At 35.9% G+C, this 22805-nt stretch overlaps 1 protein-coding gene across 2 annotated transcripts in view; it reads left to right on the plus strand.

Moving 5' to 3' along the window:
• CEP126 (centrosomal protein 126) overlaps positions 1 to 22805 on the plus strand; it is an 86053-nt gene that overhangs the window by 2894 nt on the left and 60354 nt on the right. For both annotated transcript variants that reach the window (NM_001363543.2, NM_020802.4), the window contains exon 2: positions 4738 to 4857. Coding sequence is in view for 1 of the 2 variants with exons in the window: in NM_020802.4 (NP_065853.3) it covers positions 4738 to 4857 (120 nt within the window). In the remaining variant the exon portion in view is untranslated. The remainder of the gene's footprint in view (positions 1 to 4737; positions 4858 to 22805) is intronic.

Raw genomic sequence — 22805 nt, forward strand, 5'->3', positions numbered from 1 at the left:
ACCACTAAAGATTGATGGTTTCCAGCTTCACCTAAACAGGAACAGGGTTCTTTCTTTTTCCTATGAATGCCTCTGCCAGGTCTCTGTCACCTTCCATCACACTCGATAGACTGTCTTACCACTTGATAAGACTTGGATGCCCTGACAGGTCTGTTCCAACAAACAGCACAAACACACACACTCCCACCCACCTGTCTTTTTTTCCCCCCAGGCTCACTGATGGGATCTTACTTTTACTATAGAAAGTGAAGTGAACCCATTCAGCTGGGCCCAGTGGCTCACATCTGTAATCCTAGCACTTTGGGAGGCCGAGGTAGGCAGATTGCTTGAGTCCAGGAGTTCGAAACCAGCCTGGGCAACGTGGTGAAACCATATCTCTACAAAAAATACAAAAATTAGCTGTGTGTTGTGGTGCATGCTTGTAGTACCATCTACTTAAGAGGCTGAGGCAGGAAGATTGCTTGAGACTGCGAGGTGGAGGTTGCAGTGAGCCGAGATTATGCCACTGCACTCCAGCCTAGGCAACAGAGTGAGACCCTGTCTATAAATAAATAAATAAATTGTATTTTGCTAATACATACATAATAAAACATAGTTTTGTACCTTGTGTTTCTAAAAGGTACTGCCCCATGCTCATGAGATTTTGAAACTTAGGTACATAATACATTTCTAATGGCATATACTTTTGTATAACCCCCTTAGGAGCCAAGTTTTCTATAATGCACTAAAAGATATAAAAATGCATATGCCTTTTGTCCTCATATCTACCCCAGAGAATTTTCTCCAAGGGAATAATTCAGGAGGTTTTTATTAAATCATTACTATATTCTAAGAACCATGCCAGGCGTGAGAGTTACAGAAATGTAGAGAAGACACTTATCATGTACTCATGAAGGTGTCATCAAGTCATCTAGTGGAGGTTAGAAAAGGCTTCAAGGTAGAACGAACTGCTTGAGATGGCCCTGAAAGGATGAGTAGAGTTAGCCAAGCATGTGCCAAGAGATAATGGTATGATACATCACGGGTTGTTCTGTTTATAATTATCTTAGTGCGTCTGGACATAGGATTCATACAGGGAAATGTTAAGAAATAAAGTTGAAAAAACAAACTATATTATAGAATGGTTTATATATAGGTCCAAGAACTTTGGAATTTTTCATGAAGGTGATAGGGAGCTTTTGGAGAACAACAAAGAGAAACACAATCAGATTTGCATTTAGCTGACTTTGTGTAGGTTCAAATAGAGGTTTAGAGTAAGAAGAATTAGAGGAGCACTGTAGTCGTCCAAGCAAGGGATTTAGAGTACCTGAGTTAAGGGAGAGGAAGAAGGTACAGTAGAGGAAAAATCGAATCAACATAGCTTTAATAGATTTGGGGAAAAAATGGGTTATATAATACATAGTTATTTGTGATGGCAACATTTTAAACAACCTAACTGGATAAAAGACTAAGTTGGGAGAGGAGAAGTGAGGATAGAGTGGGGTAGAATAAGCTATGCTTTAAAATCACATGTTACAATACATATTATTCTTGGTTTTGTTTTTTTAATGTTAAGTATATAAAAATTCCCTTCTTTTGGACAGGTATTTAGCAGTGTTTTTTTTATGGAACTCCTACCTTTACCATACAGCTTGTATAAAAAAACAAAATTTAACCAGCCATCTAATTTTTTTAAACTTGAATACCATATTTGAAATGATACAAAAGCAGCAGGATTCTTTATATTAATAATTAATAATTCAGCAGGAAACATACTATACTATTATACTTATATATAAAGAAAGTAGAAAATCATTTGGTTAAATTGAAGACTATATAGTTGTCAGAACATTACAAACATTACATTTGTGATTTTCTTTATGCTGTCGTGATGAGACTTCAAACATGTCAAACAGAGAACAGAACTGTCTCCTCCTTGCTTCTCACTTAAGCCAAAGCATCTTCCTCCCCTCAACCTCATGTTGGCCCTGTGCACCCTGAAAGGAAGTTGCACTTTTCTTTACTGCCGAGTTGTCACTTTTAATACCTAGACATCTTGTTGAAGTCTGGCTCTTGTTAAAATATTCTATCAGAGAAAAACAGTTTTTCTGTGCTAGCAAAGAACCAAATTTTCTTCCCTTTTGGTTTGATTTTTATAAATCCTTTAAAAGAAATCTTTAAGTAAAAATATGTTTGTGAGTGTGTTTGGGTCTTTGTCTTGAAGTAGTGTAAAATTTTATTTAAAATGAAGGTAAAATGAATTATGGCCTATGGTATAAAGATGGTTAAATAGCAACACAAAAGAAAACAAATAAGCCCCCATCAGCAAAGGTCTAAACAACAAAATGTTCAAATAAACCTGTTATTCTGAAATATGTAATAATAGAGTTTCTTTATAATATTGATGCTGAAGCACTATAGGATCCTGAAATTAACATGTTGAATTAACAAATTATGTACCGCATAGTTTATTATTGAGTGTATTTCTAGTATTCTGTTTTACCATTAATAATCAATTTATGAGATTTTTACAATCTTGATTAAATGCAGCCTTTAAAGAGAATTTTGGACCTCCATCTTAGCGTAAAAAGTTTTTAAACAAGCTGTTTGTTCTAAAAAAGACAAATAGATATGCCCTACAATCTATAACTTCAGTATAATCTCATATATTTCTACATCTAATGATGAGGTACTAAATGTGATTACACGGTAATTCAATGAACTTTTTTTTTTTTTTTTGAGACAGAGTCTCGCTGTGTTGCCCAGGCTGGAGTATAGTGGCGTGTTCTTAGCTCACTGCAGACTCAACCCCCTCCAAGCTCAAGCGATCTTCCCACATCAGCCTCCCAAGTAGCTGGGGCTGCAGGCATACACCACCACACCTGGCTGATTTTTGCATTTTTTGTAGAGCCGGGGTTTCACCATATTGCCCAGGCTCATCTCAAACTCCTGGGCTCAAGCAGTCTGCCCACCTTGGCCTCCCAAATTGTTGGGATTACAGGTGTGAGCCACTGCGCCCAGCCAAATGAACTTCTTTTAATTCAAAATCATTAAAAACAGAAGACTCATGAAAAACAGAAAATTACTCTGACAAATTTGATAAAGATACTTAATAATGTCAATTAAAACGCAACTAAATAAATTGGAGAAATTACTCATATTGCTACAACTTATTTAAGGAGAGTTTAATTTTATAAAATAAATTTCAAGTGAATAGATGATTAGGATAACCAAAATATTCCTCTTTTTCTCTGACAAGCTTCTGGATACACAGATGACTATACATAGTTTTCCTAGTGGTTTTTTATAACCACTAAGTCACTAAGTAAATAACTAAACTGTATTCCTAACCATTCTAGTTATATTGCTATTTGATTGTTTAATATTTGAAAATGTACTTTCCTACTATAGATTAAGGGATCTGGTGAAACATTTACTCCATCTACTTTCTATTAGTAAAATACAATCTTCTTATTTCATTTTCTTATATTCATGACTATGAGGGCAACTTGTTAGTAAGTACTCAAATATCTGTGTAATGAGGCCAAGCACGGTGGCTCACGCCTGTAATCACACCACTATGGGAGGCCGAGGCAGGTGGATCACCTGAGGTTAGGAGTTCGAGACCAGGCTGACCAACATGGTGAAACCCCGTCTCTACTGACAATACAAAAATTGACTAGGTGTGGTGGCACATGCCTGTAGTCCCAGCTACTTGGGAGGCTGAGGCAGAAGAATCACTTGAACCCAGGAGGCAGAGGTTGCAGTGAGCTAAGATCATGCCACTGCACTCCAGCCTGGGCAACAGAGTGAGACTCTGTCTCAAAAAAAAAAAAAAAAAAACTGTGTAATGAATGAAGATATACAGTCCTCTTTATCTGAAGTTCATGATTTCTTTTTTTTTTTTTTTTTTTTTTTTTGAGATGGAGTTTCGCTTTTGTTGCCCAGGCTGGAATGCAGTGGCGCAATCTCGGCTCACTGCAACCTCTGCTTCCCAGGTTCAAGAGATTCTCCTGCCTCAGCCTCCTGAGTAGTTGAGATTACAGGTACCCGCCACCACGCCCGCCTAATTTTTGTGTTTTCAGTAGAGACAGGTTTCACCGTGTTGGCCAGGCTGGTCTCAAACTCCTGACCTCAGGTGATCCACCCGCCTCAGCCTCCCAAAGTGTTGGGATTACAGGTGTGAGCCACCGCGCCCAGCCTGAGCTCATGATTTCTAAAAGTAGATTTTTTTTCTCCAGGAAAAGTGAGCTATATCTTACTTTCTAATACCAAGTCAGAATTTTTTTTTTTTTTTTTGAGATGGAGTCTTGCTCTTGTCACCCAGACTGGAGTGCAATGGCACAACCTTGGCTCACTGCAACCTCCGCCTCCCGGGTTCAAGCGATTCTCCTGCCTCAGCCTCCCAAGTAGCTGGGAATACAGGCATGCACCACCACGTCCAGCTAATTTTTGTATTTTTAGTAGAGACGGGGTTTTGCCACGTTGGCCAGCCGGGTCTTGACCTACTGACCTCGTGATCTTTCTGCCTCAGCCTCCTAAAGTGATGGATTACAGGTGTGAGCCACCGCACCCAGCCCCGAATTTTTTTTACATAAAATGTTTGCCAGTCATATACTAATGTGGGCACATACTAATTATTCCACAAAAACTATCATTACATCATTTGCATGAGGCTGTAGTTATATTTATCATATAGCACTGACAGTCATCCACTAAAGATGTAGACCATTGTTCTTAACTTAATGCTATCATTAGAGATATGAAAATCCATCTGGAGAAAAATTTAGAAGAAGAGCGCCAGATATTACTGCAGCAACAAAAAATATGTCGAAATCGAGCACGTAAATATTTTGTGGAGTCAAATCGGAGAAAAAAGTAAGTAATTGCACTTTATTCAGAAGTATAGAAATTCAAAGTCAATATAAAGTAATAGTTTCTCTACTTTGTAGCACTTTATGAAACTAAGTCATGGCAGTGTTATCTGTGAAACATTGATCAAGATTTGTGTGGCTTTGTAAATTTTATTATTGTTTTCCTTCCCAAAGCACAAGGGTGGTGGTGTATTATCTAGGTCTCTGACAGTAGCAGTCTTTTTTTGTCATAGAACAGCTTATTGCATTGTCATATACACTTCTTAAAATGACTATGAAATGTATTATCTTCTTTTTTTGTATCATTTCATGATTTCATGATGATTTTAAAATTACCAATTAATATTTAGTCTTTTGGTATATAGTTTGAGTTTAATTTGTTATTCACTTCTATATAATTTTTCTATATCTGCCACTTTTCATTCGTTCAATCTGAAAAATTGGAAAAAATATGAATAATGGTATAAAAATTGGAAAAATATGAATAATGGTAGCAATATGAATAACAGTAGAAGTGGTAGAAATGTTTTATAAGTGAATGCTAGAAAAAGGAGCTTTCTAGGGTAAACTAGAAACTATAGTAAAGAAAAAGTACAAATTGTTCAATCACTGCTTAACATTTTTCAGGATGTTTTTTAAATATTAGGCTTTTTTTGAGACAGAGCAGTTATGCCATTTTTTAATTGTTGTTTTTGCTACCTTGTCCATATTTCTACAATATATGAATAGCAGAAAATCCCTAGACTTTATTAACTACATCACTGGGCATATGTTAACAAATCCCATTTGGGGAATAAAAAATTGTTTACCTGTAATTTTTGCCTGGCATTATGTTTCTCTTCAGATTAACTTTTTTATTGTCTGATGTAGTTGAAATTATTTACTGAAATTTAGAATTTTATTTTGTATGCATAGGTTTCTGCTTTTCTCCTACCTTTGGGCTCCTGGCATCTATAAACGGCGTGTGACAGGTGTTCAGTAAAGATGAATAATCATATGTTGAAAGAGTAATGGACTTTGGAGTCAGAGATCTAGGAAATACTAGCTCTATGAATTAAAGGATGTCTGTTTAATGTCTTTAAGCCTCAGTTTTCTCATTTATGATTGGAATTAATTACATCTATTTCAAGGGATTTTGGTGTAGAGCAGAAAGGGTAGAAATAAAGTGGAATATTTGAGAATACATGTAAAAATATCAGTGTCTGACACATAGGACTTCTTATTTTTTATTATTAATGTTTATCAGTTGTTTATTTTACAATAATCAACTTTAATAGCAAGCCTTTATGGAATTTTATTAATAAATTTTCTATTTGTATTCTCTCATCAAATGTAAGAATTCTTATGTAGAAAATAACAGAAAAGAAATCTTGGTTTAAAATTCTAAGAGGCAGGACATTTTCCAATACAATATTATTGTGTTTTATTTTCCGTTACCCTAAAGTGCAATGTAAAGATACATAAACATTTCTTTTAAAACACTAATCATTTGTCTCTGTATTTCACCTTTTATAAGGGGGCTGAATTATTTGTGCACATCCGAATTTCAGAAGCTGTCTATGATTATGGTCTTCTTAACCATGCCATTGTCTATCAATTTATACTTTACATCATTTAAGTTTATGCTGTCCACTTACATTGTGGTCACAGAGGATTTTTTTGTTTTGTTGTTGTTTTGGGGCTGTGTGTGTGTGTGTGTGTGGTTTTTTGTTTTGTTTTGTTTTTTTGAGATGGAGTCTCACTCTGTCACTCAGGCTGGAGTACAGGGGCACAATCTCAGCTCACTGCAACCTCCGCCTCCCAGATTCAAACGATTCCCCTGCCTCAACCCCCCGAATAGCTGGGATTACAGGCACGCACCCCCGTGCCCGGCTAATTTTTTTGTGTTTTTCATAGAGACAAGGTTTCGCCATGTTGGCCAGGCTGGTCTTGAACTCCTGACCTCAAGTGATCCTCCCATCTCAGCCTCCCAAAGTGCTGGGATTATAGGTGGTTTTGGGTTTTTTTTTTAAATAGTATTTTCTTCAGGTAGAGACAGTCTCCTGCCATTTGTCAGTTATACATTGACATTGTCAGTGTTATGTGTCCAGCAGAAGTCAAAGGAAAATGTTCCTAGCATCAAGTTCTCTTTATTTTCATTAGTTGCTTTAAATCACACACATTTTTATTTTCTTATTATTTATTGCATTTCTATTAGCCAATATTTTTCTTGCATTGTATGCTTTTATCACATCCTCAAGTTTTCCATTCTCTCAGTCAGTATCTATACAATGGAGTCCCCTTTGTTTCCCTCCAAGTCCCCTTTGTTTCCGGCTCCAGTAGATGCTGGTTATCTTTTAGGCCTATTGCACAACTGGCATCCCAGAACTTTCTTTTATTGCTCTTAGGAGTTGGAGCCATAATTTTTTGCCTCTCATAGCATCCCTTTGTTTGTTTGTTCTTTGTATTCCATTAGTTTGCTGGAGTACATCCTCAAGTTACTTTCTAATATGCTTCTTTGTAGACCAAGGAATTTTGAGATACACACACAGAAAGGAAATAAACTGGCTTATTTCCTGCTTTTTCAGTCCACCAACCAGAACTATCTTTTGGTAAATACGTGAATGGGCATTTATTCACTCAACATGGAGAATTCAGTGAGCACAAATGATTCAACATTATGTCAGGAAAAGAATTTATTTTGTTAATCTGTTCTACCAGTAAACTTTAGAAAAGTTTACCGGCAATTATCTGGCCGGGCGTGGTGACTCACACCTGTAATCCTAGCACTTTGGGAGGCTGAGGTGGGTGGATCACGAGGTCAGGAGTTCAAGACCAGCTTGGCCAAGATGGTGAAACCTCGTCTCTACTAAAAATACAAAAACTAGCCAGGTGTTGTGGCGGGTGCCTATAATCCCAGCTACTCAGGAGGCTGAGGCAGAGAATTGCTTGAGCTCAGGAGGCAGAGGGTGCAGTGGCGTGACCTCGGCTCACCACTATCTCCACCTCCTGGGTTCAAGCAATTCTCCCTGCTTCAGCCTCCCAAGTAGCTGGGATTACAGGCGCCCGTCACCATGCCCGGCTAATTTTTGTATTTTTAGTAAAGACGGGGTTTCGCCACGTTGGCCAGGCTGGTCTCGAACTCCTGGACTCAAGTGATCTGCCCATCTCGGCCTCCCAAACTGCTGGGATTACGGGCATGAGCCACTGTGCCCAGCCATCCATACTATATTAAAGAAAATTTGGATATTTGGAAGTTATCTTTGACTATTTAAAATGTTGTTACGTAAGATAGTCATTTATTCACTCAACTAATATTTACTAGGAAACCCCAAGGTTTCATATTCCGAAAGATAAAACAATAAAAAACATGATTTCTGTCCTCAGATTACTGATAGTGAAGTAATAAAAGATGGCAATGCTATGCAGTAAGTACTACAATAGCATCACTTACGAGATTCTATGGAAGCACATGCCATAGACTTAAAGGACAAGAAAGAATTCCTGGAAGAACAAAGTCTCTCGTATTAGTTAACCAAGAGTTAGCCAGGGAAGATGAAGAGGAAGGGAGATGTTTTATTTAGAGAGAACAATATGTGAAAAAGCCTAATGTTATGAAATACACGACAAAAGTTGTATGTGGCTGATGCATGGGAATATGTGGAAGAGTATCAGGAGAGGAAGTTACAGTGTTGATAGTACACGTTATGAAATAACTTTTATGCCAATCTAAAGAAATCAAAGATGCTGTTGAAGGAATAAAATCAGAGGAGTGTCATGATCAGATTTATATTTTAGCTCATTATAGCAAAGGGGCAGAGGATGAATTGAAAACAGGCTGGAGGCAAAGAGTAAAGTAGAAAGCTGTTATAATGTTCTAGGCAAGAAGATGGCTATGGAGGTGGAACTGGATGGAGTAGATAGGATCAGTAGGAGTCAAGGATTAATTATAGATGAAGCATGAACAGCATTGCCAGAAATGGAATTCTTGTAGATTATGAAAACTTTATTTTCACATTTTAACATAAATTTTTCTAAAATACAATGCATATTTCTATAATCTTTCATATAGTTTATGATAAAAGTGGTTTGATCTTTTCTTCATGCCCTACAATCATTATTATGAGCATTAAATATTCTCCTCCATTATATTATTGTACTGCCTTTGAGCTATTAAGCTTTATTTAGGCTATAATAAGTAGCCTGTAACAGTTAAGTTTGGTGAGTTCTTGCATTGAGGATTATCTATCTTCTTGTAATTTCTCTTTTTAAAATTAAACTGTTGGCTGGGCGCAGTGGCTCACGCCTTTAATCCCAGCACTTTGGGAGGCCAAGGTGGGTGCGTTACTTGAGGTCAGGAGTTCAAGACCAGCCTGGCCAACCTGGTGAAACCCCGTCTCTACTAAAAATACAAAAATTAGCTGGGCATTGTGGCGCATGCCTGTAATCCCAGCTATTCAGGAGGCTGAGGCAAGAGAATCTCCTGAACCTGGGAGGCAAAGGTTGTGGTGAGCCGAGATCATGCCACAGCACTCCAGCCTGGGTGACAGAGCGAGTCTCCATTTAAAAATAATAATAATAAATTAAATTAAACCAAATTAAACTCTTTATTTTGAGGTAATTGTAGATTCACAGGCAATTGTAAAAAATAAAACAGAGAGATTCCATATACCTTTTACCCAGTTTCCCCCAATGATAACATCTTGCAAAACTATATAGTACAATATCACAACTAGCATAATAATATGTTTACAGTCAAGAAATAGAACAGTTCCATCACCACAAAGATCCCTCAAGTGTTGTCCTTTTATAGCCACACCTACTTCTCTCCCAGTCCCACCCCCTGGAAATCACTAATATGATGTTCTCCATTTCTACAGTTTTTTCATTTCCAGAGTGTTGTATAAAGGGGATCATACCATATATAACCTTTGAGGATTGACTTTTCTCAGTACAATTCTTTGGGATTCATTCAAGTTGTAGTGTGTATCAGTAGCTTTTTCATTCTTATTGCTGAATATTTATTATTATTATTATTTCATGATATGGATGCACCAGAGTTTGACCATTCACCCATTGAAGGACATGATATGTCAGTCTATTATAAATGAAGTTGATAAAAACATTCACATACAGGTTTTTGTATAAACATAAGCCTTTATTTCTCTGGGATAAGTGACCATGAGTACTCTGGTTAGGTCATATGGTAGTTGCCCATTTAGTGTGTTTAAAAACTGCCAGCCGTTTTTCAGAGTATAAGCGTGATCCAGCTTTTCCTCATCCTCACTAGCATTTGGTATTGTCACTATTTTTTATTTTAATCATTCTGATAGGTATGCAGTAATATCTCATTGTGGTTTTAACTTGTATTTCCCTAATTGCTAGTGATGCAGATTATCTTTTCATATTTTATTTACCATCTGTTCTCTTTTAGTGAAATTCTCTTTACATTTTTGTTCATTTTTAATTGGACTGTTTGCTCTTTTATTATTGAGTTTTGAGAGCTCTACATATATTCTAGATACTAGTCCTTTGTCAGATATGTTGTTTGTAAACATTTTCTCCTACCTTGGAGATTATTTTTCCATCTTCTTCATAGAGTCTCTTCCGGAGCAGAAGTTTTGAATTTTGATGAAATTCAGCTTATTGGTTTTTCTTTTTATGGACTCTGCTTTTGATGTAAAGTCTAGGAACTCTTTGCGTAGCCCTAGGTTCTGAAGATTTTCTCCTGTGTTTTATCCTCAAAATATTATAGTTTTATGTTTTACAGTTAAGTCTGTGATCCAGTTTTAGTTAATCTTTCTATAAAGTATCAGATGTGTACCAAAGTTTGGAGGTTTTGTTTGATAGTTTTTTGGGGGTGTGTTTTGTCTCCAGATGTCCAGTTGGTCCAGCATTATTTGTTGAATAGGCTACCTTTCCTCCATGAATTGTTTTTGCACCCTGTCAAAAATCAGTTGAGCATATTTGTATGCATCTATTTTGGGGTTCTTTATTCTGTTCTTTTTGTGTCTCTTCCTCCACCAATACCCCACAATTTTGATTACTGTAGCTGTATAATAAGTCTTCAAATCATGTAGGCTAATTCTTCCCACTTTATTCTTTTTCAGAATTGTTTTAGGTGTTCTAATCTTTGCCTTTGAATATGAAATTTAGAATAATATTATCTAAACCTGCAAAAATTATTGCTGAGAGTTTCATAGGAATTGCATTATACCTGTATATCAATGTGGGATGGGGAAAACTGACATCTTCACTATGTTGGATCTCCTAATAAATCTACTGAGTTTTTTATTTCAGTTGTTGCGTTTTTTAATTCTAAATTTTTCATTTGATTCTTCTTTATATTGATTCTTTATGTTTTCTATTTATTTTCTGAGACTGTTTTTTCATCTACAAACATGCTCATTGAAGCATTTTTATCATGGCTGCTTTAAAATGTTTGTCAAATAATTCTAACATTCCTGTCATCTTGATGGTGGCATATGTTGATTGTCTTTTTTCGCTAAGTTTGAGACTTTCCTGGTTCTCAGAATGACAAGTGATTTTCTATTGAAACCCAAACATTTTCATACTCTATTATGAGATTCTGTGACTTATTTAAACCTTAAACTTTAGCTGATTCTCCCTGACACTGCTCTAGCAGGGGAAGAAAGGATGCAGCCTCATTACAGACAGTTGGAGGTAGAAGCCAAGGTTCATCACTCAGCCTCTGTGGACACTAGATAAGTAGGACAGTTCTTTATTACTGCTGAGCAGGAGGAGGAGTTCCAGCTTCTCACGTGGTCTCCATTGATACCACAGTGGAGGTGGCCTTATTACTGCTGGATGGTAGTGAAAGTCATATCTCTCTGCAGGCTTCCTCAGATACCACCAACTATGGAGAGCGTAGGGCACTTCGTCCTGCTGGGTAGGTGAAAATCCAGACTCACGACATAGTCTCTACTAATACCAGGATGAGGAGAAGACCACTTTACCACCAGGTGGAGATGAAAGCCAGGCGTTCTACTCAGCTTCTCTGACACCATCCCTACAGGAGGGTTGAGGGCACATTGTTACAAGGGAGGCAAGGATAGAAATCTAAGCTCTCCATTCAGTCTTTTCTGGCTGGATGGGAGTGGAACCACAATTTTCTGTGGTGTTTGGATGGAGTGACAGGATTTTTGCCTAAGTTTTCTGTCTAGCTAAGCTGATCTTTTCCTTATCCTGAGGCTAGAGAGAGCAAGCTTTAGTTAGGACTTTTTTTTTTTTTTTTTTGTCTAAGCTTGATGCTTCCAGGCTTCAAGTTTTTTTTCTGCTCCAAGTCTGGGATATACGAAACAAAAAGAAAACCCAGAGAACTTAAGCACCATGTCCTTTCTCAGGCGCCAGGGTCCCTAGCCTGCTGACCTCCTCTTCTTCACTTCTCAGACTCTTCTTATGGGTGTGTGTTGGGGAGGGCGTAGTTGCCCCTTGTATCTCTGGTGATTGGTTCCAAGACCCCCAGGGATACCAAAATCCACAGATACTCAAGTCTCTTATATAAAATAGTGAACTATTTGCATATAATCTACACACATCCTCTCATATGCTCTGAATCTTCTCTAGATTACTTATAATAACTAATACAGTGTAAATGTTATGTAAATAGTTGTTATACTATATTTTTATTTGTATTATTTTTATTGTATTGTTGTGTCCCTTCTGGTGGGTTCGTGGTCTCGCTGACTTCAGGAGTGAAGCCGCAGACCCTCGCGGTGAGTGTTACAGCTCTTAAAGGTGGTGCGGACCCAAAGAGTGACCAGCAGCAAGATTTATTATGAAGAGTGAAAGAACAAAACCTCCACACCATGGAACAGGACCCCAACGGGTTGCCCCTGCTGGCTCTGGTGGCCAGCTTTTATCCCCTTATTTGGCCCTGCCCATGTCCTGCTGATTAGTCCATTTTACAGAGTGCTGATTGGCCCATTTTACAGAGTGCTGATTGGTCCATTTTACAGAATGCTGATTGGGGCATTACAATCCTCTAGCTAGACAGAGAAGTTCTCCAAGTCCCCACCCAACCCAGAGGCCCAGCTGGCTTCACCTCTCATTGTTATTTTTATTGTTTTTTCCCAAATATTTTCAATCCAGGGTTGGTTGAATCTGTAGATATGGAACTCACAGATATGGAGGGCAAACTGTATATATCATGCACAGGAGTTTTAGTTGTACTTAGCGGGAGAAATAGAAAAAGTATGTCTACCTCCATTTTCCCAGAAGCAGAATTTGTGTCTTTTTGATGTTAGTATTTCTCCTTCTAGCAGCTCCTTCACATTTTTTTTTAATATTTCTAATACATTTTAACCTACTAAATTGAGGGATTTTGTTAGAACTGAAATCTAAGGATAGTGAATGAGGACCTAAGAGAGCTTGTTACTAAATTTTTGAGCTTTAGTTAATTGATATGTTTCTTTACACTGACACCTCAACCTTTAGAGAAATGAGATACTTTTATATTTTTCCTTTGTATGATGTATATTACTAATTCTATGAATCTTTATTGTTTAGGTGTTTTGCCCTGTGATAGTGTATTGAGGGTAATTTTCAACATTTCATTTGTCGTCTTTTCCAGTCAAGTGAAAGACAATCTGTTGGAAAATATGGTTTTCATACATTCTTTTAGGATTTCAAATAATTTTATGTCTCGGAAAGCACAGGATTATAATCTGGGACACATGTTTCTTTGACAGGCAATGAAAACTCACAGTAGATTATTGGGTTTAGTTCTATTATAGGCATATTGTTGGCATTATTATTTGTTAAAAATGGTATTTTTCATTTCTAAAAACCATTTATCCAACTGCCTTTTTTAACTTTCAAGAAGAACAATTTATCCTTATTTTTAATTTTTTAATTTCTAATTGTCTCAAAATATATTTAGCTTTACAGTTTAATATTATCATATTTCTAGAGAGTTGTAGCTACCTAGATCTGAAATGTCGTTCCGTCCAGAAGAAAGAAATGTATCACAAAAGGCAAGTTCTTCAGTTCTATGTTTGTCTCCTGTGACCACAGATACTCTAAATACTACTTCCTAGGTTCTATTGTTAAACGGTTGCCATGATGTTTATTTGCTCACTTCTCAAGAGCATTTCCAACAGAGGAAAATGATACCCATAGCTGTAGACCCCAGGAAACAAGAACAAATAGTTCGGCATATAGCTGTCATTTGATGAGATGGCTCACATTGAGCCAAGGTGCTCTACATGTTTCATGAGGCAGAGCTGCATATGTTAAACAGACCCTTCGAAAGTTGCTAAGGCAGACTGTGTTTCTTCTGCGAAAAAGACTAATTCCAGGGTAAATAGGAAGCAAAAATGTACTTTCTCAACTCTGAATTCTACAATGGTAGAAAATCTTTCTCATTTTTATTGCCATTTCCTTCTATTCTCACAGCATTTACCAGTGCCTGGCACAGAATAATATAAAAGGAACTCTGTAAATAGTCACTGAGTAATGAAAGAAGTATAGTAATCATCACTATAATTGCTTATTAAAACTTTTTATTATTGGCCTATCATTGAGTTCAGGAGTAGAAATGTCTGCTTATTGGTGACACTCCATCCCTGATTTAGTGTGGCTCAACCTAACACAGGCTTTATTTTCTACAGTCCCAGAAAATACTGTATGAAATTATTATTACTTTCTGTATACATTTTAGCCCAGAAAACCTGGCCACTGTGGAACAATATGAAATGATGGTGATGATAATTTGCTGTCAAAATGACTTTTGGATAATTACAAGAAAAATACCACCTCTTAGCTTTGGAAATCTATCATTCATCATTGCCAAATATTGCTGAATTGGTGGTTATTTTCTCAATTTCTCAAACTTGCTAAGTTTTTTTCCCTCTCAATTCAGGACCTTTGCACACTGTTTCTGCCTAGAGCACTTTTTTTCCCCATTTTTAAAATGATTTGCCCCTGCGTATTTGGAGTTTTTTAGTTTAAATATATCCAGAGAAATATTCCCTGTTTACCTTATTTAAAGTGGGTTTCCCTGGCTCCCTATCTCAAACTGGAGTTTCTTTACTTCCTAGCACTTATGATAATTAGTAATTCTTTGTTTACTTGGTTTTGTTAGCTTGCCTCACTAAATAATAAATACCTGCCTGAACCGTATCTGTTTTACTTACTGTTATATACCAAACAGATACATTATTAAATACAAATAATAGATAACTGCTTTTAAAAGTGCTCTGATTATATTTGAAGTTGACATATGGTCAAACATTTATTAAACAATTATTTATTAAGCATCTACCAGGTACAAAGCATTGTGTTAGGAACAGGACTTCCAGAAATTAAAATTTCAGGCTCTGCACTCAGTGAACTTGAAGAGTATGATGGGAAAGACAGACAGTTAAAATGCAATTAATTCTTCCATTCCACAATGCTACTGCATGCTGCTGTGTTCCAAGCCCTATGCTATGTGCTGACACAGACACTGAACTTATGATACTTACAGTCTGACAAGCAATGCAGAAAAGTAAGTAATTACAATTTAGTGAGATAAATCCTATGGTAAGGTTAAGCTTAGGATTCCATGGGAAAACAAATTCGTGTTACATGTGGAAGTTGGAGATGGAAGTGCTTTGAAGAAAAAAATTACAGAAAGGTTGTTACATAGTGTATACTCGTTTAAAACCAGGTAGAATCAGGCTGCCTAGTTTAGACTCCCAGTTCTTCCACTTAATAGTTATGTGGCCTTGCACAAGTTACTGAACCTTTTTAAGATTCAGGATTTTTGTCTGTAAAATGCTTACCTCAGATAACTGCTGTGGGATAAAACAAGGTAATACATAAAAAATACTTAGCACTTACAGTGCCTGACCATACTAAGCACTTGTAATGAATGATTATTATTTTCACAGGTCACCTTATATGTAATGACAAACTTACTTTGCCAGCAGCCTTCTCCAAAACTTTCTTTCCATATCAGTCCCTAGCACCCTGATAGTATCCCTCTATCCGAAATATAAACGCCAATCATGTAAATGCTCACATGCACAGTGCTTTTGGGAAGAAAGTAAACATGGAAAACTTTCACCCCCGAGACCCCCCCCCCACCAAAACAATTAAGACTTAAAGCAATTGAAGATATGTCATTATATTAGAAATTGTTCCTAGAACCCCAAGTTGAGGAAAACATGGATGAAGTAATTTTTTCGGTATGTGATAAGGTCTCTGCTTACAGCTTCTGTTTTTCTCTATGATAAAGGATGTGAGAGGGAGGTGGAAGGTGATATCATGGAAAGTGTGAAGATACTCACAGATAGATACAAAGGACAAGGTATCATCTTCGCTCTTTGTTTTCATTTCTGGCTATTGCTCTCCCTTTTCTCTAAAATCCTCCAGCTGTCTTCAAGCACATGCCATCAAAATATACTGCTTATCCCTACTTTTCCTTACTGCAGTCATCTATAGATCCTCTGTGTCATTCCTTGAAAGTTTTAGCAACTTGGCTCTTTTTGTCTCCCTACTATTATTCCAGCGATCATTCTTTGTGATTTTAGTGTCTGCATAGACCATTCATCCAACCTAATGGTCTGTCATTTTCTTGAACTTCACGCATTCAATGGCACATCACCTCAACTATTTACAGTTACTACTTCACCTCCAAAATCTCAATTTCAGTCATCTCAATCTCTGATCTATATCTCCTATTTTTCCATGCCACTTCCTCTAGTACCCTGAATTCAACAGTTCTAAGACCCCACCAGGTCCTCCAATCCATTTATCTTATTACCCTTTTTCTGTTAATCCCATCCCTCATGTTCTCACTTCTGTTCAAACTGAGCTTCACACTCCATAGTCTATCATTATCATTCCCCAGAATATACCCTGAAACCTCTTGCAGTCAATCTCTGCCCTTCATAGCAACCACTGTTATAATTTCTATCATCAGAGTTAATTTTTCATGTTGAGATTCATCCATGTATTAGTTCATTCTTATTGCCCAATGGTATTCCATTGTAAAAATATATCATAATTTATTTAGCCATTCTTATATTGATAGGCATTGGGTTATTCTAATTTGGGACTACTAATAAAGCTGCTGGCGGAAAGATAATTATAGTCAAAATGGTAAAACATGAGAGAATCCATAAGTAGGAAATCTTTTTGTGGATATACATTTTTATTTGTTCTGAGTAAACTAAAAGTAGAATTGGTAAGTCTTAGGGTATGTGTATGTTTAACCATATAAGAAGATGTCAAACAGTTTTCCAAAAGGGCTGACCTTTTTTACACACCCTCCAGCATTGTGCATGTGAGTCCCAGTGGCTTTATAACCTTCCCAGTCAGCCTTTTTAATTTTAGCTATATACTAAGAATAAATTGAGTTTAGTTTTCACTTGCCTGATGTGCCATTCATAAGTTTTTTAATGAAATATCTATTCAAATATTTTGTCCGTGTTTTAAGTTGGGTTGTTTGTCGTCTTCTTGTTGAATTGTAAGATATATATATAGATATCTATATATATATTCTGGGTACAAGTTCTTTGTCACAGATTTATATTGTAAGTATTTTCTTCTAACCTGTGGCTTACCTTTTCATTTATTTAATGAAATCTTTCAAAGAGCAGTTTTACATTGTGATGACGTACAATTATCAATTGTTTGTTCTATGGTTAGTCTTCTCTAAGACATTTTGTCCACCCCAAGGTCATAACTTCTTGATTTCTTCTGGAAAGTTCATACTTACAGATTTTCAGTCTAGTTTTATCATTCATCTCAAATTATATGTGTGTGGTATGATATAAGGGTTGAGTGGTTTTTTCACATAAGTTTATTTAGTTGCTCCAGCACCATTTGTTGGAAAATAATTTCCTTTCACCATTCAGTGGTCTTGATGCCTTTTTTGAAAATCAATTGAGGGTCTACTTCTGTGCTCTGTATTTTGTTCCATTGGTCTGTTTACTCTTATACTAATACTACATTGACTTGATTATTGTAGCATTATAGCAGGAATTCTCAACAGCAGTACTATTGACATTGTGGATGAGATAATTATTTATTATAGGGGAACTACCATATAGGAATTTTAGGATGAAGTATAGGATGTTTAACAGTACTTGCCTGCTGTCCACTAGATACCAGTAGCACACACCAGTCATGACAATTTAAAATGTCTCTAGACATTGTCAAAGATCCACTTGAGGGGGAAGGGGCAAAACTCTCCTCAGTTGGGAACCACTTCTTTATAGTGAAATAAGATAGTGTGTAGCCTCTGATTTTGTTTTGATTCAAGATAGTTTTGCTTATTCTAGGTATTTTTACTTTTCCCTATAAATAAATCTGCCTGGTTTTGAGTGGGATTGTGGTGAATTTGTATATCAATTTAGAGAGACTTGATAACAATTCTAATTGCATTAATAAAATTGAGTCTTGCAGTCCATGAAATCCATGAACACAGCTTATCTCTTCTCCTCTTTCCCCCACCCTTTATTTTGGTTTGGGTTTTTTTGGTTTGTTTATTTAATTTCTCTCAGTGGCATTTTCTAGTTTTCAGTACAGAAGTCTTGCATGTCTTTGTTTAATGACTCCTAAATATTTTGTATTTTGTAATGCTTTTATAAATGAATTTATTTAAATTTCATTTCCCATTGTTTGTTGCTTATATGTTGAAATACAAATGATTTTTCTATATTGACCTTGTATTCTAAGAACTTGTTAAATTTTCTCATTAGTTCCAGGAGTTATTTTATATATTCCTGATGATTTTCTAGTTATATAATTATGTCGTCTGCAAATAAAGAGAATTTAATGTCTATCTTTCCAGTCAATATGGCTTTTACTTTTTTGTTGGCCTCAGTGAACTTTCTAGGACTTCCAGTGCAAATGGGGACTAGAAGTAGTATGAGTAACCCTCTTTGCCTTATACCTTTTGGGGGAAGTATTTACTATTTCACCATTAACTATGCTGCTAGCTAGGGAATTTGGGTAGGTGCCCTCTATCAGATTGAAAAAGTTTCCTCTCATTCCTAGTTTGCTGAGAATTTTTATGAATGTGCATTGAATACTGTCAAATACTTTTTCTACATCTATTTTGATGATCATATCACTTCCCTCTTTTTTGTCAATATAGTGAGATGCACTAATTTCACATTCCATGGATAACCCTCATTTGGTAATGATATGTTATTTTTATAAACTGCTGGATTTTATTTGCTAATACAGATTGAGTGCTCATTATCTCAAATGCTTGGAACTAGAAGTGTTGTGGATTTTAATTCTTTTTAGACTTTTGGAATATTTGTACATACATAATGAGTTATCTTGGGAATGAGACTCAAGTCTAAGCATGAAATTCATTTATGTTTGATATACACCTTATACACATAGCCTAAAGGTAATTTTATGTAATATTTTTAAATAATTTTGTGCATGAAACAAAGTTTGTGTACATTGAACCATCAAAAAGCAAAGATGTCATTGTCTCAGTCAACCACGTGGACAATCTGCGGTTGTTTGGTCATCACCACCATTCCTGAGTCTGAATTTATATGTTACTGATAAGCAATCATTTTCTTATACTTATTCACACTTAAGTACTTAAAAGTAAAAAATATGACAGATAACATTAACACATTGAAAAAATAACGTGTTCAAGGTAATGAACCAGTACAGTAGCATCACCGGAATACCTGTATCAGCTGGCAGACAACAGCAATAGCAAACAAAGGCAGACTTTCAGTCTTCATGTCAGTACTCAAAAGTTTCAAATTTTGTAGCATTTCAGATTTTGGATTTGCTGATTAGAGATGCTTAACCTGTATTTTGTGAAGGATTTTTGTGTAATGTTGATGAGAGATATTGCTCTATAAATTTCTTTGCTTCTAATGTGTTGTCGGGTTTTGGAATCATAGTTATGCTGGCCTTATAAAACATGGTGGGGAGTGTTTTGTTCACCTCTATATTTTGAAAATGGTTGTGTATGATTGTTGTTTCTCTTTTAAACGTTTGACAAAAAAATTATAATATATCTGAACCTAGAGTTTTTTTTGTGGGAAACTTATTAATTATAAATTATTAATGTGTAGAGGTTTTCATATTTTATTTTCTTTTGTGTCGGTTTTGGAAAGTAGTTTCTTTTAAGAAATTGGTCCATTTTGGCCGGGCGCGGTGGCTCACGCCTGTAATCCCAGCACTTTGGGAGGCCGAGGCGGGTGGATCATGAGGTCAGGAGATCGAGACCATCCTGGCTAACAAGGTGAAACCCCGTCTCTACTAAAAATACAAAAAATTAGCCGGGCGTGGTGGCGGACGCCTGTAGTCCCAGCTACTCGGGAGGCTGAGGCAGGAGAATGGCGTGAACCCGGGAAGCGGAGCTTGCAGTGAGCCGAGATTGCGCCACTGCAGTCCGCAGTCCGGCCTGGGCGACAGAGCGAGACTCTGTCTCAAAAAAAAAAAAAAAAATACAAGAAATTGGTCCATTTTACCTAAGTTGTTGAATTTATTAGCATAAAGTTGTTTGTAATATTCTCCTATTATTTTTTAAGGCCTGAGGTATTTGTAGTGATACCCTGTCTTGCATTCATGATATTATTAATTTTTGTTTTCCCTTTTTTTCTTCATTGTTCTTGCTAGGAGTTTATCAGTTTTCTTAACATTTTCCAAAGCAACTTGTCTATGTTTTCTCTATTTTTTTTTTTTTTGCTTACTACTTCATCAGTTTATTTTCTTTTTATTAGATTCTTTCTTCTTTAGGATAAATTTGCTCATCTTCTATCTTGTTAAGGTGGAAACTGAAGTCATTGATTTTAAACCTTTCCCCTTTTCTGGTATAGCATTTAAAATTATAAATTGGCCAAGCATGGTGGCTCACACCTGTAATCCCAAAACTTTGGAAAGCCAAGGTAGGAGGATTTCTTGAGGCCAGGAGTCAAGACCATCCTGGGCAACAAATCAAGACACCCCCTTCTCTACAAAAAATTTTAAAATAAAATTATAAATTTTCTTCCAAACACACTTTTAACTGCATTTAACAAATTCAGTATGCTGTATTTTAATTTTTATATCATTCAAAAATTTTTTTTACTTCTCTTTAGATTTTTTTCTTTGATCTATGGTTTACTTAGAACTATGTTTTCATTTTTTCTCTAATTTCCAGTTATTTGGAGCTTTTCTAGATATCGTAATTGATTTCTAATGTAAATGTGTTTTGGTCAAAAACATACCCTGTAAGATTTTAATCTTATGAAATTCATTAACATTTCTTTTATGGCTCAACATAAGATTTTTATGATGTACTTGGGAAAAGACTGTGTATTATGATTGTTGGGTATAAATTATTACTGTTCTATAAATATCAACTAGATTGACCCAGTTGATAGTGTTGTTCAAATATTCTATATTCTTACTGATACTTTTTTCCAGATACTTTTTTCCAGTTGTTCTGTTACAAAGAAAGGATGTTAGAATATGCACCTAGGATTGTGGATTTGTCCATTTCTATCTTTAGTTCTGTGTTTGCTTCATGTATTTTGAAGGTCTATTATTGGGTTCATACATCTTTATAATTTTTGTGTCTTCCTGATGAATTGACCTTTCTATCATTATGAAATGTTGTCTTTTACCTCTAGTAATACTCCATTTCTTAAAGTCCAATATTAATAACACTCTAATAAATTTGTCTGGTATTAATATACATAGTCAAAAACTTCATCTGATATTAATGTAGTCAAATAAATTTCTCAAGCTTTTCCATTCTTTTGCCTTCAGCCCGTGTATATTTGCAATTGGGTCTTACTTTGTATCCATTCTAGCAAGTGTTAAGTCAGAAACTGTGAAGGGTCTGAGATTTTACCCTACTTGCAAGCTAATAATTTAGTTTACCATGATTTCACTCAGTACCAATGAGATGGTTGTTAATTCATGTTGCCTGTTTTGAAATATTAAACAACAAATAACTTTTGTTTCCTTGTTTTCACAAGTGTCTGCCATGTGACATAAAGGTTTAGTGTCTTCTTTGATAACTCAGATATGAGATATTACCAAACAACTTCAAATACTTTAATAGGGGAAGGCTTATAAACTCATTATTTAACAAATTCCCCTGAACATCTAGGCAGCCATGGATTTCTCAAACCAACTCTCAGATATACAGTGTTGTGTAGAGTTAGCTCCATATCAGCCATATTAAAGGACAGACCATCAAAGCATTTGCCCAGGAAACAAATCTGTAAGTATCACTGAAACATCACTAACATAAATCAGTAATACATACCAGCTGACTAAGATTCCTTCCTTACCTAACTAGATAAATGTAAATTGTTCTCATTACCAGTGAAGTAGATAGTGCTCTAAAAGAAAAATACAATAGTACAAAAAAAAATCCCTGGAACAGACATCTCTGTTTAAAAAAATGTCATAGGTATAAGTTATTTTATGCAGTTACATGCTGCACTATCAGCCATGAGACATAAAGACGACAGTTGCCTAAGTTGGCAGTTGCAGTGCGCTGATACTCTGAAACTGAATAATGCATGACATAGTGCTGTTTACTAGGAAGATTTTAATATCACAAAACTAATTTCTAAAATCAAAAAAAGTTTTATTCTTCAGAAAAGCATATATAATAAATGCATGTAATCCTTTTAAAATAACATAAAGAAGAAAACAAACAATTTTTGTTCATAAACATTTCTCCCCATCTCTACTAAATAAATGTTAACTGGTTTTTAAAATACTGACTTACAGTTATTATTCTGGTCATTTGCTTCTATATAACAAACCACCCTAAAATTTAGTAGCTTATTTATTAAAAATCTGTGTTGAATGGTTGAGCTGGTTTATTCTCCCTTGGAAGTTTCATGCTTTTGCACTCAGATTTGTGCTGTGGTTGGTGTTATCTGAAGATTCCACTTCGTTGGACATCCAAGATGGTTTCTTCAGTCACATGTCTTGTGCTAGGCTGAGAAGGCTACAACAATTGGAACCAAGCCAGTT

Source organism: Homo sapiens, chromosome 11 (assembly GCF_000001405.40).
Source record: "Homo sapiens chromosome 11, GRCh38.p14 Primary Assembly".
Lineage (NCBI taxonomy): Eukaryota > Metazoa > Chordata > Mammalia > Primates > Hominidae > Homo > Homo sapiens.